Raw genomic sequence first — 27,775 nt, 5'->3', positions numbered from 1 at the left:
ATAGGTAAGCTAAATTCCATCAAAATTAAAAACTTTAGTACAAGAAAAACTACAATTAATAGAGTAAAAAGGTAGCCCATGGAAAGAGAAAAAAATTGCAGATTATATTTCTAATATGAGATTAATATCCAGAAAACAACGAACTTCTACAAGTCACCACCACAACAAAAACCAACCCCATTCAAAAATGGGCAAAGGCCTTACTAGAGGATTCTCCAAAGAAGATATGCTAATGGCCAATAAGCACATGAAAAGGTGCTTAACATTACTAGTCCTTAGGGAAATGCAAATCAAAACCACAGTGAGATACCACTTCACACCCATTAGGATGATTATTATTTAAAAGGTGGAATAACAAGCATTGGTGAAGATATGGAGGAACTGGAGCCCTAGTTCAGGCTGGTGGGAATGTAAAATGGTGCAACCACTGTGGAAAATGATACAGCAATTTCTCAAAAAATCAAACATACCATAGGATCCAGTAATTCCATTTCTTGTTATATGCTCAAAAAAAGTAAAAGCAGGGGGCTTGAACAGATATTTGTACATCAATTTTCATAGCAGCATTATTACAGTAACTTAAAGATGAAAGCAACACAAATGTCCATCAACAGATAAATGGATAAACAAAATGTGATACATACATATAATGGAATATTATTCAGCCTTATAAAAGAATGAATTTCTGTCACTTGCTTCAACATGGATAAACCCTGAAACTCTTACTCTAAGTGAAATAAGCCAGTCACAAAAGGGCAAATACTGTATGATACCATTTATATGAGGTAGTTAAATTCACAGCCACACAGGCTAGAATGGTGGTTTCCAGGAGCTGGGGGAGGGAGAAATGAGGAGTTGTTGTCTAATTGGTACAGAGTTTCAATTTGAGAAGATAAAAAAGTTCTGGAAATGGATGATGATGATGGTTGCACAATAATGTGAATGTGCGTAATGCCACTGAGCTGTATACTTAAATATGGTTAAAATGGTAAAATTTATATTATGTATATTTTACCACAGTAAAAATATATATCATATATAATACATAAATATATATGTATATAAATATATGTACTTATATTATATATTTATCATATATAAAAACACATTTGCTAGTTAATTTTCCATTTGATATTTTCTATTACCAAAAAACGTCCTAGATGAAAAAAATATTTTTTGAGTACTGTACTTATTTTTATTTTTCTTTGTTTTTTAATTATTTTCAGTTGCTAAAATTCACATAGTGCAAATCTACCAAAGATCTCAAGGGGGCTATAGAATCCTTCAGCTACTCAGTTTCCTCCCCTAGAGGCAAACTCCATTACCAGCATCTTTTTACCCTTCCAAAGATATTTTACATGTATGTGTTTGAATGCACACTTGGTAGATTTTATTTCTTTTTTTTTTAACCTGTCATAAACTATTATTTGTTTATTATTATAGTTGACAAATAAAAATTATATTTATCATATACAACATGATGTCCTGAAATATGTATACCTTGTGAAGCGGCTAAACCGAGCTAATCAACATATGCAATACCTCACATAGTTTTTTGTGATGAGAAAACTCATCTATTCTTTTAGAGATTTTCAACAATACAAAACGTTATTAACTACAGTCACCATGTTGTACAATAGATCTCTTGAACTTATTTCTCCTATATAACTGAAATATTGTATCCATTTACCAACATCTCCTCACCACATCCCCTCCCAGCCCCTAGTAACCACAATTCTACTCTCCATTTCTATGATTTCAACTTTTAAAAATTCTGCATATATGTGACATTATGTAGCATTTGCCTTTCTGTTCCTAGCTTATTTCACTTAAAATAATGTTCTCCAGGTTCATCCATGTTGTCACAAATGACAGAATTTGCTTCTTTTTTAAGACTGAATAGTATTCTACTATGTACATATGCCATATTTTCTTTATCCATTCATCTGTTGATGAACACTTAGGTTGATTCCATGTCTTGGCTATTATGAATGGTGCTGCAATAAACATTAGAGTGTAGATATTTCTTTAATATACTGATTTCATTTCCTTGGATATATACCAAGTAATGGGATTCCTTGATCATATGGTGGTTTTATTTTTAATTTTTTAAAGAACTTTCATACTATTTTCTATAATGGCTATACTTATTCACATTCCCACCAACAGTATGGAAGAGTTCCTTTTTCTTGACAACCTCACCAGCATGTGTTATCTTTTGTCTTTTTAATATTAATTATTCTAACAGATATAAGGTTATATCTCATTGTGGTTTTCATTTGCATTTCTCTGCTGACTATTAATTTAGTATTTTTTCATATACCTGTTGGCCATTTGCATGTCTTCCTTTGAGAAATGTCTATCTATTCAGGTCATTTGATCATTTTTTAACTGCATTACTTGTTTTCTTTAACTGGGTTATATATAATGTATACACATATTTTATTATTATTATACTTTAAGTTCTAGGGTACATGTGCACAACGTGCAGGTTTGTTACGTATGTAAAATTAAAAAATTTTAAAAAAGATCAAGTGTGTCTCACAGGTCTACTCAACCAAACCAGAGGACCTCTAGGAAGCTTTGTGGTGTGGTCCCCTCTGCCATCTATGTAGAAGCCAAAAAATACAGAAGAGGTTATTTCAAAAACACCTGGCTTTTGTCTAATGGATGAATATTATTGAAACCTAAGAAGGTTTCACAAAGTGTTTGCGAAAACTGCTTCATCAGGTATAGTGCCAGCACTGTCTAAAAAGACCAGGAAGAATACAAGAAGGAAAGAAGACTATAAAAGATATGAAATAAGGCTTACATCTGGAAGATATAAAATTGTGATGATTTATGTACCTAACAGAGCCCGCAAAGACATAAAAACAGAAGTCAACAGATTTAAAGGGAGAAATAGGCAATTCTACAATAATAATCAGAAATATCAATACCCAAATTTTATTAACAGATAAAATAATTTACAAGAATATCAACAAGAAAACAAAAGACTTGAACAACCACTACACACAAACTAAATATTACAGATGTCTATAGAACACACCACCTATCACAACAGATGAACATTCTTTTCAAGAGGCATGGAACTTTCTCCAGCATAGACCATAAAACAAGCCTTAATAAGTTGAAAAGAGATTTGTTGTTGTTGTTGTTGTTGTTGTTGTTGTTGTTGTTGTTGTTGTTTGAGACAGAATCTCCCTCTGTTGCCCAGGCTGGAGTGCAGTGGCATGATCTAGGCTCAAGGCAACCTCCACCTCCCACGTTCAGAAGTTTGAGACCAGCCTGGCCAACATGGTGAAATCCCATCTCTATTAAAAATATGAACCCATTCTGGTTTCTTTCAGATTACAATAAAATGAAATGGGACTTTAATAACAAAAGGGAATTTAGAAACTCACAAATATGTGGAAATCAACACAACCTAAATAAGAAATGAAAGAAATCAAAAGAGAAGTTAAAAAATACTTTGAGATGAATGAAAAATGAAGATACAACATATCAAAATTTACAGGGTACAGCTGAAGCAATGCTTAGAGAAAAATTTATAGCAGTAAATGTTTATAATTATAAAAAACAGATCTCAAATTCATGCAAACTTCCACCTGAAGACACTGGAAAAACAGAGCAAACTAAATCTAAGGTAAGTAAAAGAAACAAAATAATAAAAATTAGAGCTGAATTTCATGAAATTGAAAAGAGAAAAATCAATAAAACCAAAAGCTGATTCTGTGAAAACATTACCAAAATTGACAACACTTCAGCTAGATTAACCAAGAAAACGGAGAAGACTCAAATTATTAGAAGTGGAAATGAAAGGTGAAACATCACTACAGGCTTTTTTTTTTTTTTTTTTAGACGGAGTCTTGCTCTGTCGCCCAGGGTAGAGTACAGTGGCACAATCTCAGCTCACTGCAACCTCCGCCTCCCGGGTCCAAGCAATTCTCTGCCTCCGCCTCCCAAGTAATTGGGATTACAGGCACCTGCCACCATGCTCAGCTAATTTTTTGTATTTTTAGTGGAGACGGGGTTTCACCATGTTGGCCAGGCTGGTCTTGATCTCCTGACCTCATGATCCACCCAGCTCAGCTTCCCAAAGTGCTGGGATTACAGGCGTGAGCCACCACGCCTGACAAACATCACTACAGACTTTTAAAAAACAAAAGGAATTATAACTGATTACTATGAACAATTGTATGCCAATAACATAAAATAGCATAACGACTGAAATGAAATGGACAGATTCCTAGAAAGACATAAAACACTGAAACTGATTTGAGAAAAATATAGATAATCTAATAGCCCTACATCAATTAAATATTTGAATTAATCATAATTAAAAAACCTACCCACAAAGAAAAGCCCAGACCCAGAAGCCTTCACTGGTGAATTCCACAAAACATTGAAAGAAGAGCTAATACCAATTATTCACAAACATGTCCACAAAATAGAAGAGAAGGGATCACCTCTCAACTCATTCTATGAGGTGAAGATAACCATGATAACAGCGCCAAAGACACTGCAAGAAAAGAAAATTGCAGACCAATACCTGCTATAAAGATACAAAAATGCTCCACAAAATACTAGCACAATAAAATCCAGCAATATATGACATGACCGGGTAGAATTTGTCCCAGGAATGCAATGTTGTTTTAACTACCAAAAACCAAAAATATACCATATAAATAAATAAATAAACAAAAAACAAATGATCATCTCAATAGATGCAGAGAAAGCATTTGGCAACATCCAACACCTTTCATGATTAAAAACACTCCACAATTAAGAACAGATAGAAACTTCTTCAACTTCATAAACGGCATTTATGAAAACCTAGTTACCATTCCACTTAACTCACACAATTCCATAATTAGAAATTCTTCCAGCTCTAGAAATAAAATCTGCCCAATTTTAATAATGGACAAAAAATCTGAATATGACTTCTCCAAAGAAAATATACAAGTGGCCATGAAGCCTATGAAAAGATATTCAACATCATTAGCCACCAGTGAAATGTAAATAAAACCCACAATGAGATACACACTAAGGTGTGTGTCACATCCACTAAAGTGTCTGTAATCAAAACAGCAGATAATAACAAGGGTTGGGAGAATGTGGAGAAATTAGAAACTTCATATACTACTGGTGGGAATGTAAGGTGTGATCACTTTAGATGACAGTCTAGCAGTTTCTCAAATGATTGAAACATATGATTCAGCAATTTCACTCCTAGGTATACATGTAAGAGAAAACATATCCACAAAAATTGTGTATATAAATGTTCATAATAGTATATTTGCAATAGTAAAAAACTGGAAACAACCCCAAATGCCCATCAACTGGTGAATGGACAAACAAAAATGTGGTATATTTATACAATGAAATATTTGGTAATCAAAATAAGTTGAGTACTGGCACGCTGTAACATGGATGAACCTCAAAAACATTGTGCTGAGTGAAAGAAGCTAGTCACAGAGGGCCACACATACTATGATTCCATGTATATAAAATGTCCAAAATAGGCACATCTATTAGAGATTGAAAGTACATTAGGGGTTGCCTATGGCTGAAGAGATGGGGATTTTGAGGAGTGATTGCTAAGTGACACCAGTTTTCAGAGTAATGAAAATGGTATAAGGTTGATTGTGGTGATGAATGCAGAACTCTGAAGAAGCTAAAAGCCACTGAATGGTCCCATTTATATGAGTGAATTGTGTGTTATGTGAATTATATCTCAATAAAGCTGTGGGAAATAAAAATATATGCCTAACATAATCATTAGGAGAATGCAAATTAAAACCACAATGAGAAACTACTACACATCTATTTTAATAGCTAAATTATATGTTTTTCAAATCTGATACTACTAAGAGCTGAAGAGGAAGTACAGCAATAGCAATTCCTACAGTTGCTGGTAAGGATGCAATTTGGGAAACATCATAAAAGGTTATAACATATTTAATTCTAGTTACTTATTCATGGGTTCATGTGCCTAGTAGACTGAAATCTCTGAAGGAAAGCTCTTAGATTTATTACCCTCCACATCCCTAGAGCTCAGCTCAGGGATCCTTGCTGAGTTGCTGCTAATAAATATGCCAGGAATTGGACTGAACTGGAGCTTCAGTCACACACCTAGATACCAAATCTGGATTCTGTTCAATCATTAAAGCCTATAAAGGAGGCTGCATACAAAAGCTGAAGCCATGATTTGGTCCCAAAGGGACAGAGGTCGCATGAAGGCAAAGCCCACATCCGGGGCTTTGTTAAACCATGCAAATCCATTACCAGGAGGGTGCCTGCACATAAGAGGCACACCACGCAGGTAGGCCAGATCAGTTTGTTTGTGATGAAGGTAAAATAAGATGAATGATGGTCATTATTCTAACTGTATACATTGAGAAATTTTTTATATACTAAGTCAAGTCCTGAAGAAAAGATAAATGTGTCCCATAAACACACAGTTTTTTTTTTTCAAGCCAGGATAAAACTCAACGTTTTTTTTGCCTCTGACCTGTATTTACTTGCCCCCTCACTATACACTCACATCTCCTCACTAACTTCAGAACCTTGCTATACAACTTTTAAAACAAGGGATGTTGAATAAGGCTGGTGTCATTGTTCCTCCAGCAGAAATGCAGGAAGCCATTCTGTACTTACAGTAGCCAGACAGATGTCCTGTAGGCCTGTGGTTCTGCAGCTCTGACTCAGTCCCCAGGGCAATGTGAGATTTCTTGTTGGAATCTTGCAAAAGCATCAAAAACACCTTTCGGAGAAAAAAAAACGCCATGTATTATTTTATGTTTCTATACACATCGCATTTCTTTTCTTCTGCCTCAATTGCCTAATCCGGTTGTGACAACATATGCCAAACACACCCCATATATTTCATTTAGCCATCCATTTAATTGGCATAACTCTAAGACTACCTAGGTCTCAGCAAAACAGGCTACCCATAGGATGCAAAGATGAATGAAACTTGACTGTGAACTCCCAGACCCTCACGGGCTAGTGGAGGCTGGTCAAATGCATAGGCAGTGGTAGGCAGGGAGGGGACAGATAGCAACACAGTGTATCCAATTCAACTTAAGTTTGTGACTCACTGTACCAGCATCTTAGGAATTCAGAGGTGAATCAGACAATAAAATTGCAATGCTCAGTTTACTTACAGTAGATGGGATCTCATACATAAAAATCCCCATTAAATGTATGCTTTCCATGGGCTATGATATATGATGTCACTAAGGTAGTTAATCAAATAACTTGCTTGAAGTCATTTCTTGGTTAGTAGTGGAGGCAGAAGTCCAACCTCAGTTTATTCAAAGCCAAATACTATGACTAAAGTAGCAAAAATAAGGTGAGAAAGCAGAAGTGCAAGCAGACACAAAGGGAAATGAGGTGGGGTGGAGACATCGAGGGCCTTGAGCTGCACCTGGATCGCTGGCAGGGATTTATGGAGTGATGGAAAGAGAATCTCTAAAATAAACATTGGGCAATTCACGAGAAGCATACAAGTCAAGGAGACATCGCCCTGCAGCAGCACAGTCCTAACTGCTGGAGTTCCACTCTTGGCAAGATGTGGGCCGGCTCTGTCTGCAGGCATAGGACTGCACCACGCAGAGTGTTGGCTGCCTCGTTGTATTAATAAAACAGAGATGATGATCACAGTATTTAAAGTTCAGTAGATGATGGCTGTAAAGTGCCAGGCACAGACTCTGGAAGCATGCAGTAAGTCTTCTATTATTCATGTGGTTAGCCAAGGTTTCCTGAACGTTCTCTGTGGGCCATGCACAAAGCTAGGCACTGTGCATTGCCACTCTCTCCCTTAGCATCATCTGTGCAGGTGCTTCCATCACCCCTTCCTCTGCACGTATCCATAGAGATATTGGTCCCTGGCCCTGGCCCCTCTCCAAGTGACTCCTGCTGGGCCAGCGTCACTGTCCATCCAGCTGGTACCTCCCACCCAATGCCCTGGGTAGTGAAGTCCTATACCTGCATATACAGATCTCAGCCCACACTGAGCACCCTGCCTCACTTCTGATTTCTCTACACAACCTCACCATTCTGATTCCTCTAAACAAGCAAAAAGGGATTGACTGTCTCTAGATGTTCCTGAGGAGCCCCTAACCACAGGGAAAGATGGGGGAAGGCACCAGAAAGAAGAAGCCATGAGCAAGCAAGCCTTCAGGAGAGGCATGCAATATCTCCGCACGTGGTTAATTAGTTTGCATGGAATCCTACTGAGCAAAATCTGCATGAGTAGCACTAGTGAAAGGTCAGATGCAGCTACCTTCATGTGAAAGATAACACTTTGCTGATTCTCAGTAAGACTCCAAGGAAAAGCTGTAAACCTCACTACTATTGCAAATAATAATAAGAAGAAGAATGATTAATAACATTTCTGAGTGTGCGCCAGCCATGTGACCTTGAACACATTATTTTACCACTCTTTAACTTAGTTTCCTCACATGATAAATGGTAATAAATAAGAGGCCGGGCGCGGTGGCTCACGCCTGTAATCCCAGCACTTTGGGAGGCCGAGGCGGGCGGATCACGAGGTCAGGAGATCGAGACCATCCTGGCTAACACAGTGAAACCTCGTCTCTACTAAAAATACAAAAAATTAGCCGGGCGAGGTGGCGGGCGCCTGTAGTCCCAGCTACTCCGGAGGCTGAGGCAGGAGAATGGCGTGAACCCCAGGGGGCGGAGCCTGCAGTGAGCCGAGATTGCGCCACTGCACTCCAACCTGGGCGACAGCGAGACTCCATCTCGAAAAAATAAATAAATAAATAAATAAATAAGACATATTATAGGATTGTTGCAAGCAATAAATGCATTTATATATAAAGTTATAAAAACGATGCCTGGCATGTAGCATGCTGGCAATGTCTGGTCTCAACAGTAGCTAGATAAGGATGAGTAAGTGTAGTAGGGTGTATGTGCTATGTTTCATCATGTAATTCTCAGATCAATCTGATGAGATGAGTACTATTATCCTTGCTTAAGATGAGGGCACTGAGGCTTAGTGCAGTAAGTCTTCACCTAGTGCATTTATAGGGAATTAAATAGGAAACAATAGAAATAGTGAAAATCAAGAATTATTCATTGACTAAAGATTTTCCTTTATATCTTATTCTAAATGGAATTTTCATTTAATGGTCATATTTAACTATGATTATATGAAGCATACCTTGATAACTAAGGCATTATTGATAACAATATTCATCTGTCCTTTTTAAATTTTCCTTTTCTAGCCCCTCTCATAAAAGGCCATAGTTGTATGTGGCGGGGAGGAGGGTGTGTGTGTGTGAGTGTGTATGAACATGTGTGAATGTATATGCACATGTTTGAATGCACACATTTGTGGGCATGTGTGTGTTAGAGGAGGAAACAGAATAAGGACAGAGTTTTTGCCCTCAATAATCTCACAGATCAGCAGGAGATACAATCAATTATGGTACGGCACTAAGTATCTGGGTACAATGTGTCTGAAAATTCTGGAACTTTGCCTATGAACAGTGAAAGGCAAGCCTAAGACCATCAGAATGTTATGCGTGCCATCAAGTGGCAACTCACCTTAACTGCAGGCAGGCTGTCCGGGAGGCTCTGAGATTTTGACAAAATGTCAAAGTAGCCCAATTAACAGAGAGGGCAAATAAAGGTTACTCTTTTCAAAAGCAATATGACACTGATCACTGTAATCAAAGATTTGGAGTCTTGATGGCAGACTTTGCCTTTGTTATTTTGCATTATAATTCTCACACTGAATCACACAGACAGCAACTGTAAAACTCCCCTTGGCAAGTATTTCAGGTAACCCTAACATCCAGAATAGAACATTACCCAGGGATTTAATGAAAGAAAACTTACAAGAAGGCTCCTAACATTTCACTGAATTCTGGACATAGAATTTCCACATTACATCATTTTACAGTAAGTCCTCACTTAGCGTCATCAGTAAGTTGTTGTTCACAACTGCAACTTTCAGCAAAAGGACATACAGCAGGTCCTCAAATAATGTCATCTCATTCAACGCCATTTTGTTATAATGTTGATGAGGGAAAAAAAGTTGTTTTGCTTAAAGTCTTAGTTTCCAAGAACCCATCAACAATGTTAACTGAGTTCTCACTGTATTCCTTCTTATCTGATACATACTTTCCAGCAATATTTAAATCACTATTTATACCGAAAGGTGTTCTTCAAGTTTTTTAAAGTAATTCAAATAAAGAAACGTAAACTCTCTTTCATTTCAACAATTATGAGGAGATGCAAAATACTGCAAAAATATTCTTATTAAGAGTATAAAAGTCCTGATCAAAACATATAAACAATCTTCCAAAAGAGATAGAAATAAAGGTTAGGCAACTGCACAGGAAGTGAATGCAGGCTAAACATCTAATGTCCTGGCTACACTTTCCAATTTAAGAAGAATGCTGCGTTTGTGCATTTAGTATGGAATGACATTATTTATACATATGTCTTCCTCCTCTTTTGGTGGTATTTTCTATCATTGTAACTGAATATAGGCCATAAGCCAATTCAAATGGACCAAATAAGACCTACACCTTCCCACTTTCATACAAAAGAAGTAGAATATTCTTTTCAATCTTATCTAATGTTTTGAATTTCACTGAAATTACAAGCTTCTCAAGTCAAAGGACAATCAAGTTGGTCAAACTAGTCATTAATTTTTAGGTAAATTCATCACACAAAGTAAATAAGAATAAAATAAGACATGATGAAATTATGTCTAAAGGACACTAACTAGCATGAAAGTAATTTAAAATGTAACAAAAATATGCTTTAAAAGCAATGCCTATGGTGTATCCACTCTTTCTTTTCAAGGGACAGTAAATTCAAAAGTTTTGGGATTCTTCATTTGGGGATCTACATCTCCTTAATTTAAAAGAGCTTTGAGGTCTAGGCATTTATGACAGCCCAGTGTCATCTCTACACTGATTGTGCTATCAGTCCCTCAGCCATGAGTCCTATGCCCCATCCTTTTGGGTTCTCTGTTTAAAGGGTGTTGTCAAGCAGCATGAGACCCCAGATATGATCTACACTTAAAGTGTCAGTTTGATGGATTGTGTCCTGGAGATGGTCAGTGCAAGGTACTTTTTTGCTTAGATGCTAGAGAAATTTTTGAAGCTGACCAAATTTTTGTAAGACAAGGACAATGGAACCCAGCTGAGTGATGACTTGAGCAGAGGAAGAATTTCCAAACTTGACCTACATGTCACATAAGATGTACTCTTTCTGTTTCCCCAAAGTGATTGTTTTTTAAGGAAGCAGAAGATGAAAACACATGGACAACTTAGATGATACGAAACACTAGAGGTACTAGCAACTGCTCTCTAAATATGGGATCTTGGGCAGGGCTGTCCCCTGACATGCTAACACAATGCATGCAGCAAGATTTGTTATTTTACAGGAGCTTGTATGAATTTCCTATCACTGCTGTAACAAATTACCACAAATGTGGTGGCTTAAGACAATGTATTTAGTATCTTACAGTTCTGGGGGTCAGAAGCCTAATATGGGCCTTCCTGGGCTAAAATCAAGGGATAATATACTCCCTGGACTTTCCCAACTTCTAGTGGCTGCCAATATTGTTTGGCCAATGGCCCCAGCCTCCATCTTTAAAGCTCATCTCTCCAACTGCTGCCTCATCATAACATCACCTTCTTCCTCTCTGACCTTCCTCGATCCCCCTTTGATGTATCCTTTTGATTACATCAAGTCCACCCAGATAATTTGGGATATCTCCTGCCACAGTCCCATATGGGTAACACTTACAGGCTTCAGTGATAAGGACGTGGACGTCGCTGGGGGACCATTATCCAGCCTGTCCTAGAACTATCACACCATCAACACACCTTTGAAACAAGGGCTGTTGATTTGAGGTGTCCCTGGAGACTACAGAACAGGAGACGTTGGTAAGTAGAGTAGAAAATTTTGGAGTCCAACACAAAATGAAAAAAAATTCAATGTCTGATTTTGGTCAGCTCATTACCTTTTTGGTCTCTTGGTCTCTCAGTTTGCTTATTCGTACAAGGGGAAGATTAAAAGACATAAGTTATAAAAAGTCAATTCTAGTTCACACTCAGGCTCTGTGACATCCTATAACACCTTGTTATAAACAGAATGCAAAGAATGGGTCACAGCACTCCAGTCAAAGGGCTGATAGCACAGTCAGTGTTAACAAGACAGCAGGCTGTCTGCATAAATGCTTAGACCATGAGACTGTTCTAAGTTAAGAAGACCTTAGCCCCCAAATGAAGAATCCTCAAAATACTGAATGTATTGTTCTTTAGGAAAAAAGAAAAAAAAGAAAAAAACAACAACAAACAGGATGTCACATGAAAGAAAAAGGGAACAGGGTCTCTCAAAAAAGTACCTGCTTCCTTCTCTTCCTTCCTCCCTCTTTCTTCCTTCTTTCCTTTTTTCTTTTTTTTTTTTTTTTTTTTTTTTTTTTTGTAAGAAAGACACCAGATTAGGGTTTGGGGCCAACAGAAAGTGGCAGCTGAAGTGGGGCAGGTTCACACAAGACAGCATGTGAGCAGAGCAGCAAAGCAGTGTGGAGGCCTTGGAAGATGAGCTGCACACAGGAGGACTAAGGGAAAAGGTAGCATAAGAATGAGTAAGTCGAGTTTCTCATTATCAGTGAAGGGCGGTACAAATAAGGCAAGAGGAAACACTAAATGAATGCTGTGTAATTGGATTGGAATTAGAGATGTGGAGTTGAACTCCTAGTTTTGTATTTATAGGCAGAAAGAGAAGCAAAAATAGAGGTGGATCTTTTACTTTATCCATGAGGGAACCTCAGAGCAGCAACACCCCAATCACCATGAGCGTATTGAGCAGCCAGGATTTCTTGGAGAAATGGCTGATTCTAGAGCCAGGGCTGGGAAAGAATGGCAATCCTAGAACATCTTGTTTTGTCAGGAAGCAGGAAAATGCTCAAAGAATGGGAGGCATGAGTTAAAAGGCACAAAAACCAGCTTGAAGGACCTCCCACTGGCTCAACTTGGTATGACATGAGCCTCAAAGTAAATAATGACCCTACTGAATTGTAACTCATTGAGTAGAATAGAATGCTATGAGTGGTTCCTTATATAAATAGGTCAATGGGGTAAAGAGAGAGTTCTTTCTTACTGGACAATGCCAACTAAAACACATGGAAGGAATGATGGAATTAGAAAAATCGCCACTTGGCAAGTGCCATAGTAATAATTTTTAATTCTGGCAAGGAACATCAGAAGATGCAAAAACAGGTGGGTAAGAAAAGTGGAATTTACAGATTCTCAAAATATATCCTCAAAAAAAAAAAGAGAGAGAAAAGGAAATTAACTTAAGAGTGGGAAAGCCTGGCAGACACCACTTTCCACTTTACCTGGGAAAAAAGATCACCTCACTAGCCATGGGACAGATCAGCCTTGTGTAGCAGGCAGCCAGGAGCAGTGGGACACAGCATCACCCCTGGAATATGCCAACTAAAAATGCATAACCTGACCAATCACAGCAAAATAGGGCAAACCCATATTGAGGCTCATTGTGCAAAATACGTGGTCTGGACTCTTCAAAAATATTGAGGTCATGAAAGTCAAGGAAACTGAGGAATTCTTGCAGATTGACAGTGACTAAAGAGGCCTGCAACTGAGTGCAGCTCGTGATCCTGGACTGGATCCTTTTGCTCTTAGGGACATGAGGGGCACAATTGAAACTTAAATGGGCAAAGATTTTACAGCAATTCTTTTTTCTTAAAAATTGTTCTAAAAAAAAGTCAAAAAAAAAAAAAAAGATCAAGCCCTACATCTGAGGCCCAGGCTTTACCTCTTAATGCTGTGTAGGATGGGGCAGCTGAGTTCATGCACCCAAGGAACTAGCATCCAGAACCTCCTTGGCAAAGGTACAAAGGGAACCCACTAATCAGTATTTAGCAAGCTGGAAGGAAAGAAACTTCACATCTCAGGCAGGCTCACCAGCATTTCTAAAACATTACTAAAAACTTCAAAACTATTAAAAAATACACTGCAAAAATTTACTCTGTTTGCATTATGCCAGAAAGTTTTGTCTTGGCTTCAGAGATTGCCGAAAATATATTCCATATGCAAAGCCAAGTCTTCTAACTCTCTATGGTCCCATCCCACACAAAGTAAACATTGTAACTTGCCAGGATTGTCCTTAGGTCCAAGCATTGGAGTAGAAAGTACAGATGCCTTAATGAAACTGGTGACTATCATGATTTCATTTTAAATCTTAATTTCACTAGCTTGTAGGTAAAGTTGGAGATCATAATTTATAGTAAGTGTATTCCAGTTTAGAAATAAAATATGCTTTTTAGCTGAAGAGCTCAACTGGAGAGTTAATTGGCAGGTCCTCCTCACTCCTGTAAAGTCATCAGGCAAAATGCAGATGAAGGAAGAGAAAAGCACCCTCAGCGCTACAACAGCCATGCTAACTGTGTATCAGACATAAGAAAGGAAAGTCAATGCTCGCCAAGTGTCAAGAGACAAAATTGGTTGAGACAGACATTTTATAGCCTCTACCAAACAAAAGAAGGTTCTCCAAAAGCCCCAATCTTTTTCCAATTTAAGATACCTTTCTCAAACGGCTCTAAATATACCATTTATATTTTGTTAGATCTCATATACATTGTATATATATTCCAGATTCTTTGCCCATGGTTGCCCTTAGAGAGATAATTTCTTTCTTAGCGTCCGTGTGTGTGAGAGATGTGGAAAAAGAGAGATACGTAAAATCTAGTAAATCAATATTTATTTAAGACCTATTATGTGCAAAGCACATACTAAATGTAGAAAGTAGAAATTACTGTAAGAAATTGAAGAAACATGTACTACATCTCCAAAGTAATTGAACAACTTGTTCTGTTGCTCCTCACTGACTAATGAGGAGTTCTTGCTGTTCTGGGGTGACTAACAGCAAGAACATGAATCCTGGATTTAAAAAATTGCAGAGGCATGTTACGTGGAAGAATTACTCTTTTCAGAAGGTGGTGGGGATGAAACTCCTCTGTACTTTGATTGGAGTGGTGGTTCTACAACTCTATACATTTGTCAAACTCATAGTGAATTTTACTGTAGGAATTTTACATATGAAGTACATAAATATAAATTTTTTAAGAAAAGAGGGCAAAGAGGAGGAAGACTGAGAAATTTCCAAAAGGAATATGAATGGGTAAAGTACAAATACAAATATTTTGTAAAAGAAAGGTGACTACTAAACAGAAACAGAGATATTTAAGGAATATAGCATAATATGGTTTGGATCTGTGTCGTCACCCAAATCTCATGTCAAATTGCAATCCCTAATGTCCAAGGTAGGGCCTGGTGGGAGGTGACTGGATCATGGGGGTGGAGTTTTCATGAATGGTTTAGCCCCATCCCCCTTTGGTAGTGTATAGCGAGTGAGTGAGTTCTTGTGAGATCTGGTTGTTTAAAAGTGTGTGACACCTCCCCACTCTCTCTTGGTCCTGCTCCTGCCACATAAGATGCCTGCTCCCTCTTTGCCTTCCACCTTCCATCCCCAGAAGCAGATGCTGCTATGTTTCCTGTACAGCCTGCAGAACCTTGAGCCAATTAAACCTCTTTTCTTTATAAATTACCCAGTCTCAGGTATTTCTTTACAGCAATGTGAGAATGGACTAATACATAACATAAAAAGAATTTTTAGAAGTTATTCTATAATGCAAGGTATTCTGTAACATTAAAATATAGACAGATTAAAATATAACAGTGTCTAATCTGAAAATACACCACTGCATATGTGTTTTGGATATAAATAGTAGAAAAAATATTGATAATTCCTCATATTTATGCCACAATCCAGCAATATGTAACCTGCACTCAGTTTAATTATATGATTTGACCTAAACAAAAACTGTGTGTGGAAGATAGGGAAGATAAACCTACCGTAGGGATGAGAAAAATGAAGTTAACAAAGAGCTCTTAAAACTCAACAATAAGAAAGCAAACAGCCCAATTTTTAAAAAGTGGGCCAGAGACCTAAACAGACACCTCATTAAAGAATATATTCAAATGGCAAATAAGAATATGAAAAGTTGCTCCACATCATATGTCATCAGGAAAATGCAAATTAAGGCAGCAGTGAGATACCTCTACACACCTATTAGAATGGCTAAAATCCAGAGCTCTAACAGCACCAAATGTTGGCAAGAATATGGAACAACAGAAACTCCCATTCATTGCTGGTGGAAACACAAAATGGTGCAGGTACTTTGGATGACAGTTTGGCAGTTTCTTACAAAACTAAAGACACTCTTACTGTAAGATACAGCAGTTGCAGTCTTAGGTATTTACCCAAGTAAGTTGAAAACTTATGTCCACACAAAAATCTGCACACAGATATTTATAGCAGCTTTGTTCATAATTGCTAAAACTTGGAAGCAACCAAGATGTCTTTCAGTAGATGAATAGATAAATAGACTATGGTACATTCAGCCACTGAAATATTATTCAGCGGTACAATGAAATAAGCTATCAAGCCATGAAAAGACACAGAGAAAATTTAAATCCATGTTACTAAGATAAAGAAGCCAAAATGGAAAGGCTACAAGGGTTGTATGATTCCCAACTCTGCAACATTCAGGAAAAGGTAAAACTACGATGACAGTAAAAAGATCAGTGGTTGCTGAGGGCTGGGGCTTCGGGCAGGGAGGAATGGCTAGGCAGAGCACAAGAGATTTTCAGGGCAGTGAAACTGTTCCATATCATACTATAATGGCAGATACATGGAATTATATACTCATCCAAACCCATGGAATGTACAACAGCAAGAGTGAAGCCTAATGGGCTGGATGGTGATGTGTCCATGTCGGTTCATCAATTGTAACAAATGAGCCATTCTGCAGGGATGTTGATAGTGGAGGAGGCTGGGGGCAAGGGAGGCAGAGGGACACAGAATGCACAATTTGTGCATTCTGCTCAATTTTGCTGAGAATCTAAAACTGCTCTTTAAAAGGTTTTTAAAATTAAAATAAATGAATAAATGTGGTTCCAGTCTAAGTGATTTGTCCAGATTGTCCCCGACAGGAAGTGATGAAACATAAATGCAAGTGTCAATGTTCTTGTCCTGATTCCCAGGCCCTTCCCATGGCAACCATGGGTTGAAGAAGATATGGGGCAGCAGGCCAGTTAGGAAATCCTAAATGTGACTAGAAGGCACTGGGTTTCTTTTGAAATGTTGAAAAGATTGAGGCATATGAAAAAAAAGCATCTAGGACACAAATGCATGTCATCATTTGGGGATTCTGTCATTTGACCCCGTCACAGATCTTGAGGGTTATCCCCTGGACCCAGTAATTGCATTTCTAGGAATCAGTCTATGGAAAAGCTGGGGGATCCTGTTCTTCGGACTTGTACAGTCTCAATGGTAAAATCAAAACTTTAGAAACAACCAAAGTGCCTTAAAGCAGGGAGGGGAGGAACTACATAAGGACACATTTTTGTAAAAGAAATTATGTCACCATGAACATCATGACTATGGGAAAAATAAAAACTGTTCAAGATAAATATTGTGAAATGGGTAACTCCTGTTTAAAAAAAAAAAAAGGTATATGCAGTGATGCAGTGAGATTCCAAGACTGGTTTAGAATTCTGAGCATGGAAGGACTGAAGTACAGCAAGCTCTTAACAGGCCCGAGCTCTGTAGGGAAGAGAGTGGGGAAGGGGCAGACATCAGAAGGAGAAGCATGGACATGGGTCTGGGGCAGGTGGGAGGCTGGACCTGGAGGGTGAGGAAGCAAAAGGTGCAGCCTCTAAACCCCAAGACACACCCAGGTTGCAGCTCCAGCCTTGTCCTCTGGGAGCGCCTGCAGGAGGCTTCCCTTGGTCCCGGGGCACTCTCCGACTGGGGATCCTCCCAGGGCATCTCATGCAAGTCCCTATCAAGCAGAACAAATGTCGTCTGTCTGTGTGTCACGCGCTGCACTAGAAGTTTCTTCCCTTCAACCCTATGTTGTGGTTCCTTCCATGATTCCCAACCTACAGGTAAGGGTGCCAAGGTAGGGGAGTCATTCTGCAGTGAGTGCAGTGAGGGAGCACCATGCATGGTCAAGAATGCAAACCACTCCCCGTGGCCCTGCAGGCTCTGTCGAGGCCCAGCTCTCTCAGCACCCCAGGGGGTGCAGAAGGAAACATGGAAATCTCAGTTTCTATTCCTAGGCGGAACCTATCAGACATAAAGAATTCCTCCTATTTAAGACTGATAGGAGCACTGGTGGCCTCTGTGGCCACAGTGACAGTTCTTCAAGTTTCAACAGGTTGCAGCTTTGTAGAGGCCTGTCTAAGTAGATTTTTACATTGATTTATCTAGTTTTTACTAAAATAACACTTATAAAGGAGATAGTGGCTTTAAAAGATTCTGAAGATAATACGAGCAACACAAGCACAGCAAACATGAAACAGCACAGCTGACACTTTCTTACTCCTGTGGGATCTTCATTTTAGTCTCAGATGTGACTAAAAATTCAGACAGACCTGAAAATTAGGGAGGAAAGAAGGATGTAGGCAGGAAGGAGGAAGGGAGGCAAAAAGAGAGAGGTAGGGAAGGAAGGCAGGAAGGAAGGGAATTACTAAAAAGAATACTGAAGTATCTTATTCACATGTGCTATGGTTATGAATAAGCCTCTCCCTAAATGTATGTTTTACCTGGAGATATTATTGATTGGTCATATATGCCACAATAATTAACAAAACAATTAAGAGCTAAGCATCCACCCGTGATATAAAGGCTTTCCTCACCAGTTTTTTTTTCTGTGATATTTAAATTCATAAAATATTGAAGCAAAATGTTCCACAAAATTTCACTCTTCTTAATAATAAAAATTAAAAGTATTACCAAGGATTTCTCTTTTGTTAACAACAAGCAAAATGCCACTTACGTAAAGGGAACACCCACTCTTCCTGTCGCATGTGTTTAATTGCAAATCAGTAAATACATTGGGGGTGAACACTCATTATTTCACTGATAAGTGTGCTTGGTCCATATTCCTACAGCATCTTCCTCCCTGCCCTGAGAGTCCAGTGAGCTTATGAATATGTTCAATTTATCTGTACAAGACACCATACAACTAGTAAACAACCGGATTAACCCGGTGAATGATTAGAGAGACAGACATGAACATAAGAAGTCTGGGCTTTTTTGACAATTTCTCTCGATAACCCCCCAAAAAAATTATTTTATTTTTCTTTTCCAAGTGACCCAGGATGGCAAAACTACCCCTGGAAGCAGCGCCTCCTTCTGTCTGTAGGGAAACTGACTCATGCCAGCTGACAGCTCTCAACTGTCCAAATGATTAGCTTCCAATATAATATTTGGACTTGTTATTCACATTTAAGAAGATAGTGACAACTGTGGTGTCTGACATAGCTGCATTCAAGTATGGTGCTTTAGTTAGCAGCACGTCTGTAAACCTGCATTCTGACTCATGCAATCTGGGGAAAAGGGGCTTAGGAAATTCCTTCTTGTTCTACATTGGCCCAGGGAAGACTGCTGTCTCCCAAAAATTCCTGGAGGAAAGGTGACTTTTGGGGGTATAGATGTTATTTAGCTCCGTGGTCACTCCAAAGCTACGGCAGCAACGTCTCATGCAATCCCACTGTAAGTGAGAAAAGCCATTACCATTTTTGACAGACTTGTTCCAGGCATTTAATCATGATTGTTACTCCTTGGGAAACCAGGCAAACTGTTCTGATTTTTCCATTTTAAAGATCAAAATCTTGGTGCCAGATGCAGTGGCACACACCTATAGTCTCAGCTACTTGGGAGGCTAAGGTGGGAGGATCACTTGAGCCCAGGAGTTCCAGACCAGCCTGAGCAACACAACGAAACCCTGAACATATATATATGTTTTATTAAATATCTATGTATTATTACATGTAATATATGTATATGTATGTATATTATATGTTACATATGTATACATATGTATATTATGTGTAATATATATGTATTATTTTATTAAATAATAAAATATTCATTTTATATTAAAAATATAGCTGGATGAATCTTTGGAAAGGTTCAGCACATTGTTCACTTAGAAAATATTTATTAAGCAACCATGAGTGCCAGTAACTGTCCTGGGCACTGCTGCTATAGAGGTGGGCAGAAAAGATACAAGCACTCACAGATCTCAGCGTCCATGGGAGAGACAGAGAAGCATGCATAACAAGTTGGGAGAAGTGTCACGAAGAAAAGCTTCAGAGTGCAGTGAGGGCGGGTGGGGAGAACACGGAACAGAATTGATGCTGAGGAATCTGGGAATCCGCTGCAGAGGCGCCGTTCATGTCAAGACTTGAAGAATGAAAATAGGAGACAGCCAGACAAGAAAAGATGTAGTGACCGCATCCTTTGGCTTTAGAAAACAGCTCCTATTCATCATGTGTGTTTATTAGGCTGCTTTTTGTTTGTCTCTTGCACTGTAACTTGCTCTATTAAAACGCAGTGGGAATGGATGGACTCCAGTCCTGATGATGCATGGAATACAGAGCATCAACCACAAAGGTATGGGCTAATTTAGAGAACTTGACTAACTATCAGAAACCCTAGGTCTAAGTAGAGCTCACCATTTACGACCTTCGTGATTTGGGGTAAAGAAATTGGCCTATGTGAGCCTCAGCTTACTCAACCTTAAAATAGGAATAATAAGTTACGGAGTTTCAGGGGAACCAAATACATTCTATGTATAAAAGCATTTTGTAATATTTTTTATGTTTCACAATCTTTTATGACTATTTATTCCAGACAAAACTTGTGATGGAGGCTATCTACTTGGGACCACACTGATTTATCACACAAAAGATTGCCTTTCCTCCTGCATCACTAACCCAAGGAATCAATTCCAAAACACAACTGAATGTTCAGACTTTGACTTTTGCAGATTTTTAAAAATTTTAACTTGCAGCACTTGATTTTTTGAAAACCCGTGACATTTTATATAAATAATAGCAATGTAAAATTAGGGCTCAAATACTGCCCACACAGAGAGCCAACCTCAAGAACCCCAAACAAGGCATGCCTCAGGTTGGGTCACACAACGTAGCAATGTCCTCCTGGAGGAAACGCCTATTTCTGCCTGTTGTTAAGTGTACTCTATGAAGAACCCACATGGAGTGGTCTCATCCACCTCAGATCCAGGTAGAGAAAAGTGGGACCTGGGGGATGGGAGCTCACCAGGCGTCTGCAGTGTTCCCGTGCTAAACCCTCTCACATCACGGATACCCAGCATGGGGCCAGAGACTCCCAGACAGAAGCAGAAAGAGGAGGGCATCTCTACATGAAGAATTACAACCAGCAATCAACCACTACTGACAACTGTTTAAACACCTCATGATTCTGAATTAAAGACACCAAGCTTCTCAAATACAAGAATGCTAAAAGAGGCCGGGTGCATGGGCTCACACCTGTAATCCCAGCACTTTGGGAGGCTGAGGCGGGCGGATCATGAGGTCAGGGGATCGAGACCATCCTGGCTAACATGGTGAAACCCCATCTCTACTAAAAATACAAAAAATTAGCCAGGCGTGGTGGCGGGCGCCTGTATTCCCAGCTACTCAGGAGGCTGAGGCAGGAGACTGGCGTGAACCCGGGAGGCAGAGCTTGCAGTGAGCCGAGATAGCGCCACTGCACTCCAGCCTGCACTACGTCTCAAAAACAAAAACAAAACAAAACAAAAAAAAAGAATGCTAAAAGAATGCCATTTCACTTAAAGGGCAATTGCCACCTGTCAGGCCTGTTAAGTTCAGTTATTGGCATCTAGTATGCTACCAATCAGAAATCAAATGTAAATAAAAGTGCACACTCCTCCCCCTTACCCACATCTCCCCCCCTTTACCCACATCTCTTCATTTAATGTGGACTGGTCAAAAAGGCATAAATAATTAAAGCACGCTTCAGTTTTCTCAGTACCTCTTCTAAGGTGGTGTCTGAGATCCCATAGCCCGTCAGGTGCAGCTGATGCAGGTTCTCATCCAGGGCCTGGAAGAGCCCTTTCAAGCAGGCCTTGTCTGTGTCCTTTGGAATGGTGTAGGTCAGCTCACTTCCACTGCTGTCTTTGAGAAATGCTTGTGGAATATAGATCTTTATCAGGGATGTAACACAAGCCATGTCTTTCAGATCATGGGCCTCCAGAACAGAAGGCTATCCATAAAAAAAAGGAAAAAAGAAGCCAGTAAGGAATGTTAATCCATATATACATCAATTGATTTCATGTATATCCATAAGCAAATTATTTCAAAACTCCATTTCAAAGCTTAAATGAAATATCACACTTAAGCAATAGGCATCTCAATGACATCTCGTATTTTTTTCTTTCTTTTTAAAAAATATAAATCTGCAGTGATAAACCTTGTGAGGCCACACCCACATGCCCCCCAACATGCCCGTCTTAGCTACTGGGCCTGCCATGGCCAGCCTCCAGAGGTTTGTATTCATGAAGTGCCCCCCGTCCACTGGGAGAGTCACAGAGAGATCCTGGGCCTAGCATTGAACAGCAGAAAACTGGGTTGAAGGAGTCTTAAAAGGGAGACAAGAATTCTCAGCCAAAGAAGAAAGGAGCCACCTGGGGATAATGACATTCACGCTGAATGAGAGAGGAAGCAAACAGGAACCTTGGCTCAGAGGTGAGGGAAGACTTTTCGTGGGCCACCAAGGGTCAAATACAGTCATCAAGAGTGGAGAGGTGATTTCCCACACACCCTGAATCCCAGCCCCAGAGTCACCACTTCCTGCCCCCGGTTGACACAGGCAATGATGACTACAGATGTGACCCAAGTTCAGCCTCTCGGGCCAGACTCCACTTGCTCTATACCCTCACTACTCTCTTGTATTCTGGCAAAGTTTTAGCCTCTAGGAGGGTAATATCGTTGTCAAAAAAATATTTCTAGGCTGGGCATGGTGGCTTACGCCTGTAATCCCAACACTTTGGGAGGCCGAGGTTGGTGGATCACCTGAGGTCAGGAGTTCAAGACCAGCCTGGCCAACATGGTAAAACCCCATCTTTACTAAAAACACAAAAATTAGCTGGGCCTGGTGGCATGTGTCTGTAGTCCCAGCTACTCGGGAGGCTGAGGCAGGAGAATTGCTTGAACCTGGAACGGGAGGTTGCAGTGAACAGAGGTTGTACCACTGCACTCCAGCCTGGGCAACAGAGCAAGACTCCATTGAAAGAAAAGAAAAGAAAAGAAAAGAAAAGAAAAGAAGGAAGGAAGGAGGAGGGAGGGAGGAAAGGAAGGAAAGAGAAACAGAAAGAGAAAGAAAGAAAGAGAAAGAGAAGGGAAGGGGAGAAAGAAAAGAAAAGGAAAGAAAGAGAAAGAAAGAAAGAAAGAGAAGGGAAGGGGAGAAAGAAAAGGAAAGGAAAGGAAAGGAAAGGAGAGAAAGAAAAAGAAAAGGAAAGGAAAGGAAAGGAGAGAAAGAAAGAAAAAGAAAGAAAGAAAGAAAGAAAAAGAAAGAAAGAAAGAAAGAAAGAAAGAAAGAAAGAAAGAAAGAAAGAAAGAAAGAAAGAAAGAAAGAAAGAGAAAAGAATTTCTAGAATACATAGGTCATATACTTCCTGGCCCTGACACTCACAGCAGCTCCTGTTATCTATCAGGTAATTCTGACTCCTCATGTATTTTCTCCTGGCGGTCAAAATGCATGCTTGGGTTCCCAGAGGCTTGCTCCCTGCACAGGCCTGGGGCCACTTATTTTGGCATGTGGGCCATTGTGCACAGAAGGCCTCCACTGAGACGTTATTACTATGTAACTGTCACCACTTGTTTCTTATGCCACAGACAGAAATGGGACTTCAGTGAGATAGAATGGTTGCACTCCTTACCTGCCTCGTGAGTGTCAGGCGGAGCCCCTGGCCATATGCCTCCTTCAGGCAGAAGGGAGGACCGCAGCACCTGAGCCTCCCATGCTGGAGGACGGCCACGCGGTCACTCAGCGCTTCAGCTTCATCCAGGTGGTGGGTTGTGAAGATGATCGTACGACCTGGGTCCAAGCACAGGGTGCATCAGCACCAGGAGGACAAAGGCCCCAGGAGGACCTTCCCTCCTTTCCTCAGGATGGTAGATCCAGGGCACAATTTAAAGATCCTCACCAATTTTCAAACTGAAAAAAATTGAAATGCGTCCTGGCCACTTTGCCAATTCGAGGCCCTGAAACTCTTTCCTCTACAGTAGTTTCCACGGATCTCCCATCCCCACCCCCATGAACAAAAGTGGGTGCTCTGCCAGGCACGGAGAGTGAAACTGGGGGGCAAAACAGAGTGCTTGTGCACAGCCCCCTGTTCTCTCTGTCTTTGAAGCAGATCACTGAATGAACGGAGAGAATAAATTAAAAAAAAAAAAGCTGGGTGGTTATCTCTCTCCTCAGATACTAAAGTCCTCTTCCTCATCCTTTTTTTTTTTTTTTTTTGAGATGGAGTCTTGCTCTGTCTCCCAGGCTGGAGTGCAGTGGCACCAACTTGGCTCACTGCAAACTCCACCTCCCGGGTTCAAGCGATTCTCCCACCTCAGCCTCCAGAGTAGCTAGGACTACAGGCGCATGCCACCATGTCTGGCTAATTTTTTTTTTTTTTTTTTGGTATTTTTAGTAGACATGGGATTTCATCATGTTGGCCAGGCTGGTCTTGAACTTCTGACCTCCGATGGTCCACCCACCTCGGCCACCCAAAGTGTTGGCATTACAAGTGTGAACCCTCCATGCCTGGCCCTCCTCATTCTTCTTTGGATGACAAGGGAGATGTATGTAGGGAGAAGGCTATATTTTATGGAAGCGCAATTGAATAAGAAAATCATAGCACTGAGTTAAGGCAGAAATCAGTGATAAAAAAGAGGTCTGAAATGGCCATGGTATACATTGATACCCTTTGGAATCAGGGATGATGTAACCACATGTATTCATTATTCCAAGTAGCAGCATCAGAACATGCAATGCCTTCCTGGAAAAGCTCACAGTAGCCATGAACCACAGAGAGGAGAGTATGTTGTGGGTGATGGACACAGGGAGCCAGGGTGGAGGGGGACTTGGGTGTTCCTGGCAGGAAAGTCATCAGTGAGCCCAGTGGGCATGGCTTCCTTTGGCAGAAACCAATATTAAATTCAAATGTTTTCTCTAAGCATTCTAGCATCTTGTCAAGTTTTACGACTTTTGCTTGTAAAGAAGAAGCCTCAGATTTAGCTTTAGCAGAGCAGAGGCCAAAGAAACTAGAAGATATTTTGGTGAAGTTGATTCAGTTATGTAAAAAGATGTTGCTGCTTTTAGCTTCGACACTCCCTATTGGCTTTCACTGAGCCCCATTCAACCTGTTCCGTTTTATTAAATAGAAAGAAACTCATTGACTGATTCTTGTTCCAAAGGTAAATTTTCAAAGAGAGAAGGCTAAACATGTCTTTAACTCTACTCAAGTAAATGTTTGAGGTTGTGAATATGCTAATTACCCTGATTTGATCATTACACAACGTGTTCATGTGTCAAAACATCACACTGTAACCCATAATTGGAATGTAGATGGAGCTCAAGGCCATCATGCTTAGCAAACTAATGCAGGAACAGAAAACCAAACACCGCATGTTCTCACTTACAAGTGGGAGTTAAGTGATGAGAACACATGGAGACATAGAGGGAACAACACACACTGAGGTCTACCAGATGGTGGAGGGAGCCGGGAGGGAGAGGATCAGGAAAAATAATGAATGGGTACTAGGCTTAATACCGGAGCAATGCAATAATCTGTACAACAAACCCCTAAGAAACAAGTTTACCTACATAACAAACCTGCACATGTACCCCTGAATTTAAAATGTAAGTAAAAAAATCAAAACAATAAACATATGCAATTATCATGTGTCAATTAAAAACAAAATGCAAGTAGAAAAAATAACAATAATAGAGGAGACACCTTAAAAGACTAAGACTTTCAATACATTAAAAAAAAGATGCATTTACAAATAAACTATGGAACGTAGACACAAAAGCAATAGAGCTTGAAGGTCCACAATGACCAGTTCTTGCACATGTATGTCCCTGTCCCCACACCCAAGGCCAAGCTCCTTGCATGTTAGACCTTTGAGGCTAAGAAAATTTGCTTAATCCCTGATCTAGGATTAAAGGCAGTTTAGATCATCTGACTAGAGCTATCATGTAGTTCAGATGATACATTCCCATACAATGAAGTCTAAAAATAAAAGTCAACTAGAATCTAAATTCCCAAAAGAGAAGCAAAGAGTAGAATGGTTGTTGCCAGGAGCTGGCGGGGCAGGGAGCAGGGAGGGAGGAGAAGGAGGGAGATGTTAGTTAAGGGATACAAAGTTTCAGTGACACAAGATGAACAAATTCTAGAGATCTATTGTACAGCATGGTGACTACAGTTAGTAATAATGCATTATATACCAGAAAATTGCTGAGATTAGATCTTAAGTGCCCTCAACAACAAAAGGGTAAATATGTGAGGTGATGCACATGTAAATTAGCTTGATTTAATCATTCCACAATGTATACATACATTTGTCCCTTGGTATCTGTGGAGCATTGGTTCTAAGACCCCTGAAGATACCAAAATCCCTATGTAAAATGGGGTAGTATTTGCACATAACCTAAGTACATCCTCCCATATACTTTAAATCATCTCTGGATTACATATAATACCTATTAATAATATAATGTACATACCATTTAAATAGTTGTTATATTGGGAGGCCGAGGTGGTGGATCACCCGAGGTCAAGAGTTAGAGAGTAGCCTGGCCAACATGCAGAAACCCCATCTCTACTAAAAAATATAAAAATTAGCTGGGCTTGGTGGTGCACACCTGTAATCCCAGCTACTTGGGAGGCTGAGGCAGGAGAATTGCTTGAGCCCAGGAGGCAGAGGTTGCAGTGAGCTGAGATTGCACCATTGGGCTCCAGCCTAAGAGACAGAGCAAGACTCCATCTCAAAAAAAAAGTTGTTATACTCTATTATTTTTATTTGTATTATTTTTATTGCTGTATTATTATTTCTTATTGGCTTTCTTTCCCTGAAAATTTTTTTTTTTTGACACAGTCTCACTTTGTCACCCAGGCTGGAGTGCAGTGGCACAGTCTCAGCTCACTGCAACCTCCACCTCCTGGGTTCAAGTGATTCTCATGTCTCAGCCTCCCAAGCAGCTGGGACTACAGGCATGCACCACCACACCTGGTTAATTTTTTTGTATTTTTAGTAGAGACAGGGTTTTGCCATGTTGGTCAGGCTGGTCTCGAACTCCTGACCTCAGGTGATCCACTTCTCTCGGCCGCCCAAAGTGCTGGTATTACAGGCATAAGCCACTGTGCCAGGCCTTTCCCTGAATATTTTTGATCCGAGGTTGTTTGAACCCATAGATGCAGAACCCATGGATATAAGGAGTCAACAGTGTATCAAAACATCACTCTATACACCACAAATACACAATTTTCATTTGTCAATTATACTTTAATGAAGCTGGGAAAATAAATAAATGAATAAACTTCCAAAGAATTTCAATTAAGTTTGCAGGCATTTGACCCTTGATGACTTTTTAGTGGCTGTTAAGGAAATTCAAGACACATCCAAAGCCTCAGAGAGCAATATATATATATACATATATTTTATTTTTATTTATTTATTTATTTATTTTTTGAGATGGAGCCTTGCTCTGTCACCCAGGCTGGAGTGCAGTGGCACGATCTCAACTCACTGCAACCTCTGCCTCCCGGGTTCAAGTGATTCTCCTGCCTCAGCCTCCCAAGTAGCTA

General features: G+C 39.7%; 1 protein-coding gene across 23 annotated transcripts in view; it reads right to left on the bottom strand.

The window, feature by feature from the left end:
- The window catches only part of ABCA13 (ATP binding cassette subfamily A member 13), a 476,040-nt gene that overhangs the window by 212,966 nt on the left and 235,299 nt on the right, over positions 1 to 27,775 (bottom strand). For 22 of the 23 annotated variants that reach the window (XR_926914.3, XR_926915.3, XR_926919.3 and 19 more), the window contains 3 exons: positions 23,855 to 24,012; positions 21,949 to 22,179; positions 6,661 to 6,766 (listed from right to left, as the gene is read on the bottom strand). Coding sequence is in view for 20 of the 23 variants with exons in the window: in XM_011515130.3 (XP_011513432.1) it covers positions 6,661 to 6,766; positions 21,949 to 22,179; positions 23,855 to 24,012 (495 nt within the window). In the remaining 3 variants the exon portion in view is untranslated. The other variant, XM_011515144.3, reaches the window with a different exon arrangement.

This window comes from Homo sapiens, chromosome 7 (assembly GCF_000001405.40).
Source record: "Homo sapiens chromosome 7, GRCh38.p14 Primary Assembly".
NCBI classification, from domain to species: domain Eukaryota; kingdom Metazoa; phylum Chordata; class Mammalia; order Primates; family Hominidae; genus Homo; species Homo sapiens.
Note: the sequence above shows the minus strand (reverse complement) of the source record. Positions and strands in the feature narration are given on the sequence as shown.